The sequence below is a fragment of the Homo sapiens genome, chromosome X, assembly GCF_000001405.40.
Source record: "Homo sapiens chromosome X, GRCh38.p14 Primary Assembly".
Lineage (NCBI taxonomy): Eukaryota > Metazoa > Chordata > Mammalia > Primates > Hominidae > Homo > Homo sapiens.
This window is the reverse complement of record NC_000023.11, coordinates 111,229,987-111,244,519: the sequence shown is the minus strand read 5'-3', so window position 1 is coordinate 111,244,519 and position 14,533 is coordinate 111,229,987. Positions and strand designations below refer to the sequence as shown.

The window sequence follows — 14,533 nt, the reverse complement described above, 5'->3', positions numbered from 1 at the left end:
ACTAGAGATTTACATGTTGTAGATTTTTGTTAGACATGAAATATCCCATGTGGATAATGCAGTCATTCCATATGGTCACCAGATGGCACTATGGTATTACAATTAAGCTCAAAGATGCTACTGCTTTTTTTTCCCCCCAAGGATGACAATTTTTCCCCAGACAAAAAAGGGTAGAATGCCCTCTTTCACCACTCATATTCAACATAGTATTGGAAGTTCTGGCCGGGACAATCAGGCAAGAGAAAGAAATAAAGGGTATTCAAACAGGAAGAGAGGATGTCAAATTGTCTCTGTTTGCAGATGACATGATTGTATATTTAGAAAACCCCATAGTCTCAGCTTAAAATCTCCTTAAGCTGATAAGCAACTTCAGCAAAGTCTCAGGATACAAAATCAGTGTGCAAAAATCACAAAGCACTCCTATACACCAATAACAGACAAGCAAAGAGCCAAATAATAAGTGAACTCCCATTCACAATTGCTACAAAGAGAATAAAATACCCAGGAATATAACTTACAAGAGACGTGAAGGACCTCTTTAAGGAGAACTACAAACCACTGCTCAAGGAAATAAGAGAGGACACAAACAAATGCAAAATAAAGCCATGCTCATGGATAGGAAGAATCAATATTGTGAAAATGGCCATACCGCCTGAAGTAATTTATAGACTGAATGCTATTCCCATCAAGCTACCATGAACTTTCTTCACATAATTAGAAAAAAAACACTTCAAATTTCATATGGAACCAAAAAAGAGCCCACATAGCCAAGACAATCCTAAGCAAAAAGAACAAACCTGGAGGCATCATGCTACCTGACTTCAAACTATACTACAATGCTACAGCAACAAAAACATCATGGTACTGGTACCAAAACAGATATATAGACAAATGGAACAGAACAGAGGCCTCAGAAATAACACCACACATCTACAACCATCTGATCTTTGACAAACCTGACAAAAAGAAGCAATGGGGAATGGGTTCCCTATTTAATAAATGGTGCTGGGAAAACTGGCTAACCATATGCAGAAAGCTGAAACTGGATCCCTTCCTTACACCTCATACAAAAATTAACTCAAGATGGATTAAAGACTTAAATATAAAACCTAAAACCATGAAAACCCTAGAAGAAAACCTAGGCAATACCATTCAGGGCATAGGCATGGGCAAAGATTTCATGACTAAAACACCAAAAGCAATGGCAACAAAAGCCAAAATTGACAAACGGGATCTAATTAAACTAAACAGCGTCTTCACAGCAAAAGAAACTATCATCAGCATGAACAGGCAACCTACAGAATTGGAGAAATTTTTTGCAATCTATCTATCTGACAAAGGTGTAATATACAGAATCTAGAAGGAACTTAAACAAATTTACAATAAAAAACAATCGCATCAAAAAGTAGGCGAAGGATATGAACAGACACTTCTCAAAAGAAGACATTTATGCAGCCAACAAACATATGAAAAAAAGCTCATCATCACTAGTCATAAGAGAAATGCAAATCAAAACCACAATGAGATACCATCTCACACTAGTTAGAATGGCAATCATTAAAAAGTCAGGAAACAACAGATGCTGGTGAGGATGTGGAGAAATAGGAATGCTTTTACACTGTTGGTGGGAGTGTCAATTTGTTCAGCCATTGTGGAAGACAGTGTGGTGATTCCTCAAGAATCTAGAACCAGAAATTCCATTAGACCCAACAATTCCATTACTGGATATATACCCAAAGGATTATAAATCATTTTACTATAAAGACACATGCACATGCATCTTTATTGCAGCACTATTTACAATAGCAAAGACGTGGAACAAACTCAAATGCCCACCAATGATAGACTCTATAAAGAAAATGTGGCACATACACACCATAGAATACTATGCAGCCATAAAAAAGAATATGTTCACGTCCTTTGTAGAGATATGGATGAAGCCGGAAACCATCATTCTCAGCAAACTATCATAGGAACAGAAAACCAAACACCATATGTTCTCACTTATAAGTGGGGGTTGAACAATGAGAATGCATGGACAAAGGGAGGGGAATATCACACATCAGGGCCTGTTGAGGAGTGGGGGTCAAGGGGAGGGAGAGCATTAGGACAAATACCTAATGCATGCAGGGCTTAAAACCTAGATGATGGGTTGATAGGTGCAGCAAACCACCATGGCACATGTATACCTATGCATGTTCTGCACATGTATCCCAGAACTTAAAACAAAATTTTAAAAAATTTAAAAAGGGTAGAAAAGAAAAGGAACTAGCATTTTAAATTATCTGCTGTGTATCAAACTCCACATTCAATGCTTTACATATGTGATCTCATTTTAATGCCCATAACAACCAAATGGAGTGCCGTTATTATCCCTGTTTTTGAAGGATAAGAAAGTTAAGGAAAAGAGGGAGGCAAAATAACTTGCTCATGGATGTTCATCCATTAACAACAGATGGCTTTGGTATGATTGTTTTTATTTAACTCCGGAACTTGGGCATTTTCCATAGAAATATGCTGTCTTCCAGAAGGTAGTGACATCTAACCTTGGTACAGTGTGTATCCACAGCACTGTACCAAGAACTGTGCAGGTAACATACCAAATACTTTCTCTCAGAATCTTTACCTCTAACTTATACTTCATGTATGTATAGCATCTGTAGGTAGACTTGGTCTTGCCAAAAAAAAATCAATGCACTAATATATATGAGCATGTCTTTGATACACACAACAAAATTGAACCTCAAAATAATTATGCTGGGAGAAAGACCTCAGACAAAAAAGGGTACGTACTGCTTGATTTCATTCATATAAAATCTAGAAAATGCAAAGTACTCTATAGTGACAGAAAGCACATTTATTGCCTGGGGAGGTGGGAAGGGAAGAGAAGAAAGGAATATAAAGGGGCCCAAGGAAATTTTTGGGGGTGATGATTATGTTCACTATCTTGGAACTACTTGGTATCTTGATTGTTGTGTTGGTTAAATAACTGTGTGTGTTTTTCAAAATTCAACTGAGTTGTACTGTAAATAAATTTTTTTAAGTGAAGCCTTATAACCACTTCACGATCCTTCACTGATCTTTTAAAGTTTACATATATTTATATCTAAATACACATAAAAATACATATATCTAAATACATTTTTAAAACTCCACCAGGAAATGTTATAATTTGTGCTTTCAATAGCAGTACGTATTTTAAAGAACTTAAGAGGAGAAAAATAGTTTTTTAAAATATTTACTCAGCTATTTACGATTTCTGTTTCTCTGTCTTCATTCCTGACATTCCAGGATTCTCTCTGGTGTCATTTATGTTCAGCCTGAAGAACTTCTTTTATTATTTCTTTTAGAGCTGTCAATGAGTTCTCTTAGTTTTTTATCATCTAACAATGTCCGTATTTGCCTGCATTCCTGAAGGATATTTTCACTGGTTATAGAATTCTGGTTTGGCAGTTATCTTCTTCTAATTTAAAGGCATTATTCTTCTGTTTTCTGTCCTCCATAGTTTCTGACAAGAAATTCACAGTATTCCAAATTACTGTTAACCATATATATTATGTGTCATTTTTCTGTAGGTACTTCAAAGGTTTTTCTTTCTTTGGTATTGTTTTATTATCTGTCTAGAAATGATTTTCCTTAAGTTTACGCAGTTTGAAGTTCACTGATTTATTGAATCTGTAAATTCATAACTTTGATCAAACTTTGTGATGTTTTCTGCAATTATTTATGCAAAAATTACTTTCTGCACCAATTTCTTTTTCTGCTCCTTCTGGAACTTTAATGGTATAAATGTTAGACCTTTTGATATTGTCCCAGAGATCTTTGAGGCACCATGCAAATTTTTTTCAATTTTTAGTTGGCATAATTTTTAATTCTGATTTTTATTTAAAAAAATGTACATACAGTGAATTATCTCATAGAAAAAAACACAGGGAACTATTAGACACCAAGGAGACACAGCTCGTGCCAGGGTTCTGGAAAAATTTTCTGGGGGAGGTGATACCTAAGCTGAATCATGATGCATCAGTACAATTAACACAATGAAGAAAGGAGGGATCAACAGCTACAAACCCTGAGAATATTGTGTGCAAATGTATGGACTTGCAAGAGAGCATGGAATATTAGCAGGAAAAGTTTTTTGTAGTTGGAACAAATCATGCCAACTCGGGAGTGATTGAAATATGATATTGGAGAAGTAATGGGATGAATCATGAGAGATCTTTCCTTTCAGGATAAGGATTTTTTGACCTAAAAACAATTGGGAAACATAGAAAGGAAGTTTTTTTAAAAATGTGAATGGAGCCAGACACAATGGCTCACACCTATAATCCCAGCACTTTGGGAGGCTGAGGTGGGAGGATTGCTTGAGGCCAGGACCAGCCTGGGCAACATAGGCAGAACGTGTCTCTACAAAAAATGTTAAAATTTATAGGGCATGGTGGCATGTGCCTGTAGTCCTAGATACTCAGAAGGCTGAGGTGGGAGGATCACTTGAACCAAGAAGTTTGGGCCTGCAATGAGTAATGATTGTGCCTGGGCAATAGAGTGAGACCCTGTCTCTAAAAAAATAAAAGTAAAAATAAAAAAGGTGGCTGTTCTTGTCCTTTGCTCATTTTTTAATTGGGTTGTTTTTTTGCTTGTTGATTTGTTTAAGTTCTTTGTAGATTCTAGATATTACACCTTTGTCAGATTCATAGTTTGGGAATATTGTCTCCCATTCTGTAGACTGTTTGTTTACTCTGTTGATAATTTCTTTTGCTGTGCAGAAGCTCTTTCATTTAAGTAAGTATCACTTGTCAATTTTTGTTTTTCTTACAATTGCTTTTGGTCTCACCTATAAATAATTTGCTAAAGCTGATGTTGAGAAAGATATTCCTTAGGTTTTCTTCCAGGATTTTTATAGTTAGAGGTCTTTCATTTAAATCTTCAGCCCAGCTTGAGTTAATTTTTTTATATGGTGAAAGGTAGGGATCTGGTTTCATTCTTCTGCATATGGCTAGCCAGTTACCCCAGCACCACTGAATAGGGAGTACTTTCTTCATTGTTCATTTTTGTTGACTTGGTCAAAGATCAGATGGTTGTAGTTGTGTGGCTTTATTTCTGGGTTCTCTATTCCATTCCATTGGTCTTTGTGTTTGTTTTTGTAGTGGTACCATGCTCTTTTGGTTATTGTAGCCCTGTAGTATAGTTTGAAGTCAGGTAATGTTATGCCTCTAGCTTCATTCTTTTTACTTAGGGTTGCTTTGGCTATTGGAGCTCTTCTTTGTTCCATATGAATTTTAGAGTAGATTTTTAGATTCCGTGAAAAATGTCATTGGTATTTTGATAGGAATAGCATTGATTCTGTAAATTGCTTTGAGCACTATGGCCATTTTAATAATATTGATTCTTCCAATTCATGAGCGTGGACTTTTTTTCATTTATTTATGTCATCTGTGATTTCTTTCAGCAGTGTTTTGCAGTTCTCCTTGTAGAGATCTTTCACCTCCGTGGGGTGATATATTCCTAGGCATCTCATTTTTTGTGTATGTGGCTATTGTAAATGGGATTGTGTCTAGATTTGGTCCTTAGCTAGAACATTATTGGTGTATAGTAGTGCTGCTGATTTTTGTACATTTTGTATACTGAAATTGTACTAAAGTTGTTTACCAGCTCTAGGAAACTTTCAGCAGTCTTTAGGGTTTTCTAGGTATAGAACCATATTGTCAGTGAGGAGAGATAGTTATTCTTCTTTTCCTATTTGGATGCCTTTTATTTTTTTCTCTTGCCTGATTGCTTTGGCTAGGACTTCCAATACTATACAAGCGGCCAACAAACATGAAAAAATGCTCATCATCACTGATGATCAGAGAAATGCAAATCAATACCACAAAGAGATATCATCTCACACCAGTCAGAATGGCTATTACTAAAAAGTCGAAAAAACAACAGATGCTGGCAAGGCAGTGAAGAAAATAGAATGCTTATACTCTGTTGGTGGGAATGTAAGTTAGTTTAGCCACTAGTAGCCAAAGCAGTCCTAAGCAAAAAGAATGAAGCCAGAGGAATGCAATTTGGTCCTTTCTCAAATAACTAAAAGTAGAACACCATTCAACCCAGGAATCCTATTACTGGATATATACCCAAAGGAAAATAAATCTTTCTACCAAAAATACACATTCTCTTACATGTTTATTGAGGTACTATTCACAATAGCAGAAACATGGAATCAACATAGGTGCCCATCAACGGCAGATTGGATAAGTAAAATATGGTATATATGCACTATGGAGTACTACAAAGCCATAAAAAAGAGCAACATCATGTCTTTTTTGCAGCAACATGGATGCAGCTGGAGGCCATTATCCTAAGTGGATTAGCAAAGGAACAGAAAACCAAATATTGCATGTTTTCACTTATAAGTGGGAGCTAAACATTTGAGTACACATGGACATAAAGAAGGGAACAATACACACTGGGGACTATTAGAGGGGAGAGGGAGGGAGGGGGTCTTGGGCTAAAAAAACACCCATTGGGCAGTGAAACTCCGTCTCTACTAAAAATACAAAAAAAAATTAGCCGGGCGTGGTGGCGGGTGCCTGTAGTCCCAGCTATTCTGGAGGCTGAGGCAGGAGAATGGCGTGAACCCGGGAGGTGGAGCTTGCAGTGAGCCGAGATGGCGCTACTGCACTCCAGCCTGGGCGACAGAGCGAGACTCTGCCTCAAAAAAAAAAAAAAAAAAACAACACCCATTGGCTACTATACTCAGTACCTGGGTGACAGGATCATCTGTACCCCAAACCTCAGCATCATGCACATATCCATGCAACAAACCAGCATATTTATCCCTTGAATCCAAGTTAAAAGTTTAAATAGAAAAGAAAAAGAAAAAGTAAAAGGAATTTCCTTTTCTTCCTTTTGCATATCTGAATTTCTTCACGTTTTTATAAGGAACATGTGTCATCTTTTATTATTATGGTTTTATTGAAATATAATCCACATACCATATAATTCTCCAATTTAAAGTGTAAAAGTCAATGCTTTTTAGTATATTAACAGTTGTGCCACCAACACCAAAGTCAATTTTGTAAGAATTTCATCACCTCCAAAAAGAAATATTTTTTCCTTTGTCACGCTCTACTTACTCCCAACCTCTTTTCTTCCTCGCTAAGAAAATACTAATTTACTTTCTTCTCTATAGATTGGCCTATTCCAGACATTCCTGTAAGTGGAATCATACAATATATAGACTTTTGTGTCTGTCGTCTTTCATTTAGCAGAGTGTTTTCAAGGTTCTTCCATATTGCAGCACAAAGCAGTATTTCATTTGTTTTTGCTAGATAATAGTCCATTGTATGGATATACCAGATTTTATTTATCAATTCTCCAGTTAATGGAAATGGGTTATTTCTACTTTTTGACTATTATGAATAATGTTGCTGTGAACATTCATGTATAGGTTTTTGTTTGAACATGTGTTTTCAATTCTCTTGGGTGTATTTCTAGGAGAGGAATTGCTAGATCACATGGTAACTCTGTGTTTAGCTGTTTGAGTAACTAGACGATCATTATTCAAAACAGCTGCACAATTTTGCATTCCCACCTGCAGTATATGAGGCTTTGAATTTCTCCACATTCTTGCCAATACTGGTTATTATCTGTTGCTTTTATTCTTCCATCTTAGTGGGTGTGAAGTGATATCTCATAGTGTTTTTATTTTTAAGATAAAATTATATTTATCTTATATATCACATTATATAACATAATGTTTTGATATACATATACGTGGTGAAATGATTACTACAGTCAAGCAAATTAACATATCCATCTCCTCTCATAGTCACTTTTTTTGGTGACAGAACATGAAATGTACTTTTAGAAAATTTCCAATATATAATACAGTATTATTAACGCTAGTCATCATATTGTACATTAAATGTCTAGACTTATTTATTATGTTAAGTGAAATACACTGGAAACAGAAAGGAAAATACTGCATGATCTCACTTATATGTGGAATCTAAACAAGTCAAACACATAGAAACAGTAGAATGGCGGCTACCAGGGGTGGGGAGGTCGGGGAAATGGTGAAATGTTGGTCAACAGGTATAAAGTTATGGGTATGCAGGATGAATATATAACATTGTGTTTTTGCTTTGTGTTTCTCTGATGGCTAATGATGTTGAGCATCTATTTATGCCCTTATTAGAAATTTGTACATCTTACTCAGAAAAATATGTATTCAGATCCTTTGCCCATGTTAAAAATGGGTTGTCTTTTTTATTGAGTTGTAGACTTTATATATATATTCTGGATCTAAGCCATTTAACAGATATGCTTGGCAAATATTATCTGCCATTTTCTGGGTTGTTCCTTCTATTTCTTGATTTGTCCTTTCATGCACAAACATTTTTAATTTTGATGATGCCCAATTTATCTGTTTGTTCTTTTGCTGCTTGTGGTTTTGGTGTGACAGCTTACATCATTGCTTAATCCACTGTTTAAATCATTGCTTAATCCGATGTCACAAAGATTTATGCCTATGTGTTCTAAGAGATTTGTTGTTTTAGCTTTTATGTTAAGGACTTTAATCCATTTTGAGTTAATTTTTGTATATGATGTACTGCAAGAATCCAAATTTGTTTTTTTTTTTTTTTTTTGCATGTGGATATCCATGTGCAAATGGTTTATTTCACTTGTTTGAAAAGACCATTCTTTACCCATTGAATAGTGTTGGCACTCTTGTTGAAAACCAATGGACCACAAATGTGTGGATTTATTTCTGGATTTTCAATTATATTCTATTATCTATGTCTATCCTATGATAGTACCATGCTGTTTTGATTGCTATGGCTCTGTAGTAAATTTTGAAATTAGAAAGTGTGAGACCTCCAACTGTTTCCTTATCTTTGAATAATTTTTGTTATTTTGGGTCAGCTTGTCAAATTTTTTCAATTTCTGCAAAGAAGCCAGCTAGGATTTTGATAGGCATTGAATTGAATCTGTATATTAATTTGGGGAATATTGCCATCTTAACAATATTACAGGGCATTTAACTTATCAACATTAAAAGGAACATAGGGTGTGTATCACTTTTTAGATAAGAGTAAAACAAAAATTGTTCATTTACAAAATAATGTACTAGTCCCTTTTTAAGGCCTCCTTCTTAACAAGTGTCACATCTCCATCTTATGTTGTTTCTAGATGGTATTTTAAAGACAGAAATAAAGACCTTGCTGTGAGAACTGGGTCAGTTCGAAAAGGGGCAGTTTTGATCTTGAGCATTCTTGGTTTTGCAGGCTCACTCTTCATACAGTCAAAGTCTGGGTAAGGGAAGATGAAAACTCATTTATCAAGAGAATATTATCTGCCAAGCCTTGTAACTTGCATTTCTCCATTACATAGTCCCACTCAATCTTTGCAACAACCTTTTACATAGGTATAACAATTCCAGTTTGCAGATGAGGAAGCTAAAGCCTATGAATGTTAACAACTTAGATTGAACTCACAGGGCTTTTAGGTGGCAGAGGTAGGATTTGAATCAAGGTTGGTTTTACTCCAGATACTATTCCCATACTCTGAGACCACTGTCAATATAAAAACATCTGTTCAAACCTCTGCCCAGATCTGGCAGAGGGGTCTTATCTTTCTTTGAACCCTAGTAGCTGTTGAGTTGTTCCCAGATGCTCCTTCCAGATGTTGAGGGTTACAAGGAAAGTCCATAGTCTGTACCAGAGTGCTTATCCAAGCTGACTTGCGCCCTGGCACAGTTCATCTCTCCAGAGGAGCTCTACTCAGGGAAGGGCATTTCCTTTTGTTCCATGTCAAGACATCTATCCAGACCAAAAAACTCATACTTTTTATTTCAGTGCAGATCTTCTCTCCTACTAAACCATTTGAGATGTAGCTCTCAGTGACAATCTCAATGACTATAACTCATTTTACTGTAAAATAATAGATCTTTGTGTGTCTAGCTCTAGACCATTATATGGTCATTTCCAAGAATGCTAAATATATCAAACCAATTCAGATTATTTACCAAGGACTGTGCCTTCCTGAGCAAGTTGAGGAAGAGTTAGCTTACCTTCCAGGATGGAGATTGACCTACAACAACTGAAAGTTCAAATTCAAGCTCCACGGGATGGGGAGCATTGTGGGATTATTCTGCATGATGGGCAGTGCAAAAATACCTCCTCCTCCTTCTCCTCATCTGTTTGTGATTTCTCAGCTTCATCATTGGGTTTATGTGCTTTTATATAGGATTATCACACAGGAAGATTTTGCAGTCACAAACTACAGCCAATATTCTTCACTAACTTTTTTCACTCCCTACTGGCTTACAGATCATCGATTTTGATTTTTTGATGTGATTTTCATAGGTGGTTTCTATATCTCTCTATGGATCTGTAAGCAGGGGTCATGTTTTATATTCATAAAGCATTAGACAAGCTCTTGAGCTTGAGCAGAGGATCCACATGAGGGGATGCACTGAAGAGCCAGAGGCACACCCTGATAAGGCCAGAGAGTTTACAGAAAGGATGTGAGAAAGAGCATGACCTAGTCAGATTTGCTTTTTAGAACACACACTCTAGCAGAATTGTAAATTAGAAGGGAAAAGTAGAAGCTAAGTGACCAATTCTTTTAGGTCTTCATTATTTATTTTCCTGGATTACTGCAATATTCCCCAGGAGTAATGGGGGTAAAGAGCAAGGGATAGTTTAAGAGATGTTTAATGGGAATAATCAAAAGAACTTGGTAACTGAGGAAATGGTACGGGTAAATAAGATGAGGGGAAATTCAAGGATGATGCTTAGATTTCTGATTTGAGTGGTGAGAAAAGAGAGAATATGAGGAGAGGCTCTGATATGACAAATATAAAAGAACACATTCAGTTTGGGACAACTTGAGTATCAAGTGCCTTTGAAACACATTAGTGGAGATTTTGAGTAGATAGGTGGATTTATAATAAGCATCTAGAACTCAGAGGAAATATATATGGGCTTGAGATATTAATTTGGAAGTTATGATGCAGATGGGGGCTAGAGACATGGGTGTGAACAAAATAGAGCAGGAAAGAGTCCTGGGGGACATCCACATGTAAGGGATGGCTAGAAACAGGAATATAAAAAGGAACTAGAGTAGTGACAACCAGAAAGGTAGGGAAATGATCAGAAGAGATTGGTCACAGAACCAAAAGAAAACAGAGTTTCAAGAAGAAAGGAACAGTCAACATTCACTCAGTCAACTAAGGTTTATTGAATGACTACTGTGTACCTGGGGATGCCTTCATGGAATTAAAAAGGAAAAAAATGCCTGCTCTGGTAGAGGTAACATTGAACGGGAAGGAGTCAAACAATACACATAACAAATAAATTAACAATAAAGTATGAAAGAAGTTTAGAGATGTTATGAGAAAAAGGACCAGGGAATGCAGATCAGGAGTTCCAGTCAGAGAAGTTCAGTTTACACGGGGTGATCAGGGTAGCACTCGTTGAAAAAGAAAAACTTGAATATAGACTTGAGGTGAAAGGTGAAGATGTGGATATCTGAGAGAAGGGTGTTTGATCAGAAGGAACAGCCCCTATAGAGGCTCTGAGGTAAACACATGCCTGAAATGTTTGTGGAATAGCAAAGAAGCATTCTACCTTGAGCAGAATGAATGAGGGGAAGAATAGAAGGGAATGAGGTGAGAAGGTAAGAGCGTGGTACACACAGTGGAGGGCCATGTATGATGTCATTACAAGGACTTTGTCTTTACTCTGAGAGGGGTATGGAACCATTGGAGAGTTCTGATTTATTTTGAATGCTGTGCTGAGATTACAGTTAGGTGTGCAAGTGTAGAAGCAATTGCAAAAATCAAAGCATAGGTGAATATGGCTTGAATCAGATTGGTTGCAGTAAAAGTGGCAAGAATGGTCAAATTGTACATATACAATCGCACACACAACACTCATATTGCTTTTACGTTTCAGCTTCATTGAAATATAAATACAATAAAATTGCCTTATCTAATTATACAATTCAATTATGGGTCAATCAGGTTTTATATGGATGCCATAATGTCTTTTGCAAAAATAAATGGAAATAGCTGGATTTTCCTCCCAAGAGTATTGTCTTATGGTTTTAAAAGCATTACACAATGGTTTGGGCAATATAAGAGGGAAAAATACTTGAGAACTAATAAAGAACGGGCTATTTCTGCCTAAGATGGATGAGGGCTTGACACACAAATGTGAGGCATGGGCTTGCTTTAAATAGGACAAGCCCTAGCCAATACAGAAAGCACAGCTGGATGCTATCCCCACAAGCAAGAGACTGGTGTTAGTGAGCAAAGATTTCTTGCCGTTGGATATAGATGGAGAAAACTGGGGTGCATACTAATGATGTCCACACATTGCACCAACCAGGGCCCACCTAAGCTTGTCCTGCTTAGGACCAGAAGGTCTCTAACAATGGGTATACTACTGTGGAAGAGCCACTTGTCTGCATTTGAATTGCTGGCCAAAATTCACTCCGGGCAGTGGTTACTATTGAAAGTGTTCCAATCGACCAAGACTTTTTAAAAGGTGAATAATAATAATGGCTACCATTTATGGAGTATCTACTGTATAGCAGGATAAGCATTATGATATGTTAACTTTTTATTCTTCACAACCTCTGATGTATTTTTACACTCTTGTTAAAATGGGGGAAACTCATGATTAGAGAGACATAAAATGCAGTTCTAACTCTGAAATCTAAACTCTTAGCCCATATTAGCCTAAAGGGATCTATAATTTCAGTGATTCCATTGACTTGACAGCATGTGATTGAGTCAAATTGAAGCAAAAGCAAAACAGGTGGTAGAGGAACAGGATTGAGCATTTTTGGTACTGGGCTACCACCCTACAGGGGATGATAATTTTACTCACTTAATTTTATTTTTGGTGGGAAACTCCATTTACCAGAGACTTCCTCTATGAGGGAGGAAGAAGAGGTGTAGAGATTTAGGAAGCGGCTAAAATATGTAGCTAAACCAATGTGGAAACTACTGGAAACATACAGGTTGGCCTCCAAGGCATTTTGCAACAACCTCGAATGGAATAAACACTATTACATTGTTAGAGTATGATGACAGGAGCTGCATGGAGAGGTGCTGAGTTCCACTGAATAATTGAGGGCCTCCCTGGGAAGTCCAAAATGGTTGCCCTGTTTATGGGCAGGAAGAAAAATGAGTCACCCTATCACAGTGGGCCACAGTGTATACTCTAGTCAACAGGAAATTAAAGAAAAGTCACCAGGCCACCATCCATATGTTTGCCAGCAAAGTAAGTACCCCTCCAGAATTCCTTTAATTCTCACTTAGAGGCTGGGGAGCCAAATTTGTACTTGACCTTGCTTCTGCAGCAGTGGGAACCACCTCATCTGTTACAAGGCATCATTACAATGATGAAGGACAATATGATTGGAAATCATTTATTACAGGGTGGGGTGGGTAGCTTCTTCAACTGTGATGCCATGATGGTTGGAGAAAAGCTGGTGGAAAATCTGAAGATCTGAGAAGGTGAGGTGAACTCAATTGGGGACACGACATTTTACAAATCATTAAGCCTACAACTATGTGCTGGGCCTTAGTTTTCCCATCAGAGGAACAGTGACTCCTAGATGGTCATAGAGGGCACATTGGCCCAGCACAACTAACACTGCACCCCTTATGGTACAGATGTTAGTGAAAATGATATTAAGGCTTTCGTTTCTTTAATAACATACAAAGTGCTTTAGTTTATATACCATTTAAAGGAGGGGCTAAGTTTGGTGTTCACAGTGCTCAAAATTATACAGTCAATGAGTTAAGCTCACCATGGAGCTAAGGAAAATGGGTTTCATTGATCCTGGAATTGATACATTTGCTCCTCATATGAGCACTGATGAAAGGAATATTCTAGATTACAGATACTTATCCTGATAGTATAGGCTATTCTGATATTAATCCACATGCCTACATCATTGGTTAACAGATCAGTCCAAGTGGCATCCATGCAACTCTGCCATTGGAGAGTTAGCCTGCATGGATTTGAAATGTTCATAAATGCTGCTTCTTGCATGAACGTTTTAGTATTTTCTCTCAGTGTAGGGGATAAAACCTTTATCATTCAGGATTTGGTAATATGATCCTTCATACAATGAATTATTTATATCATTTTGATGCTAGATGTGTTGGTGTTGGTAAGATTGATGAGATCACATGGAATCCAGATAATGTTTATCCAGAGGAGTTAGAAGACTCTAAATTACCAACTGGGAACATTATTGTCTTTTCTACAGTCAAACCTTATGATAGAAATATCCTGAAAGCAGATTATAATATATGCACTTCTGAGTAAAGTGAAAAACAGCTTACCAAGCACAATGCTTGCAAAATCAAAACAAAAATCACTGCTGAAGGTGGTAATGGACCAATAGCAGCAGGGATTAAGATCTTCATTATGGTGAATAGTTTGATAATCCCCATTTTCTACTTGAATTCTAGAGGAGTAACTATCTTATTTAAATAATTTTAAAATATCTGAATTAT

The 14,533-nt window shown here is 36.8% G+C and overlaps 1 pseudogene; it reads left to right on the top strand.

Annotated features, from left to right (window-relative positions):
• GLUD1P9 (glutamate dehydrogenase 1 pseudogene 9) lies at positions 13,190 to 14,513 on the top strand (annotated as a pseudogene).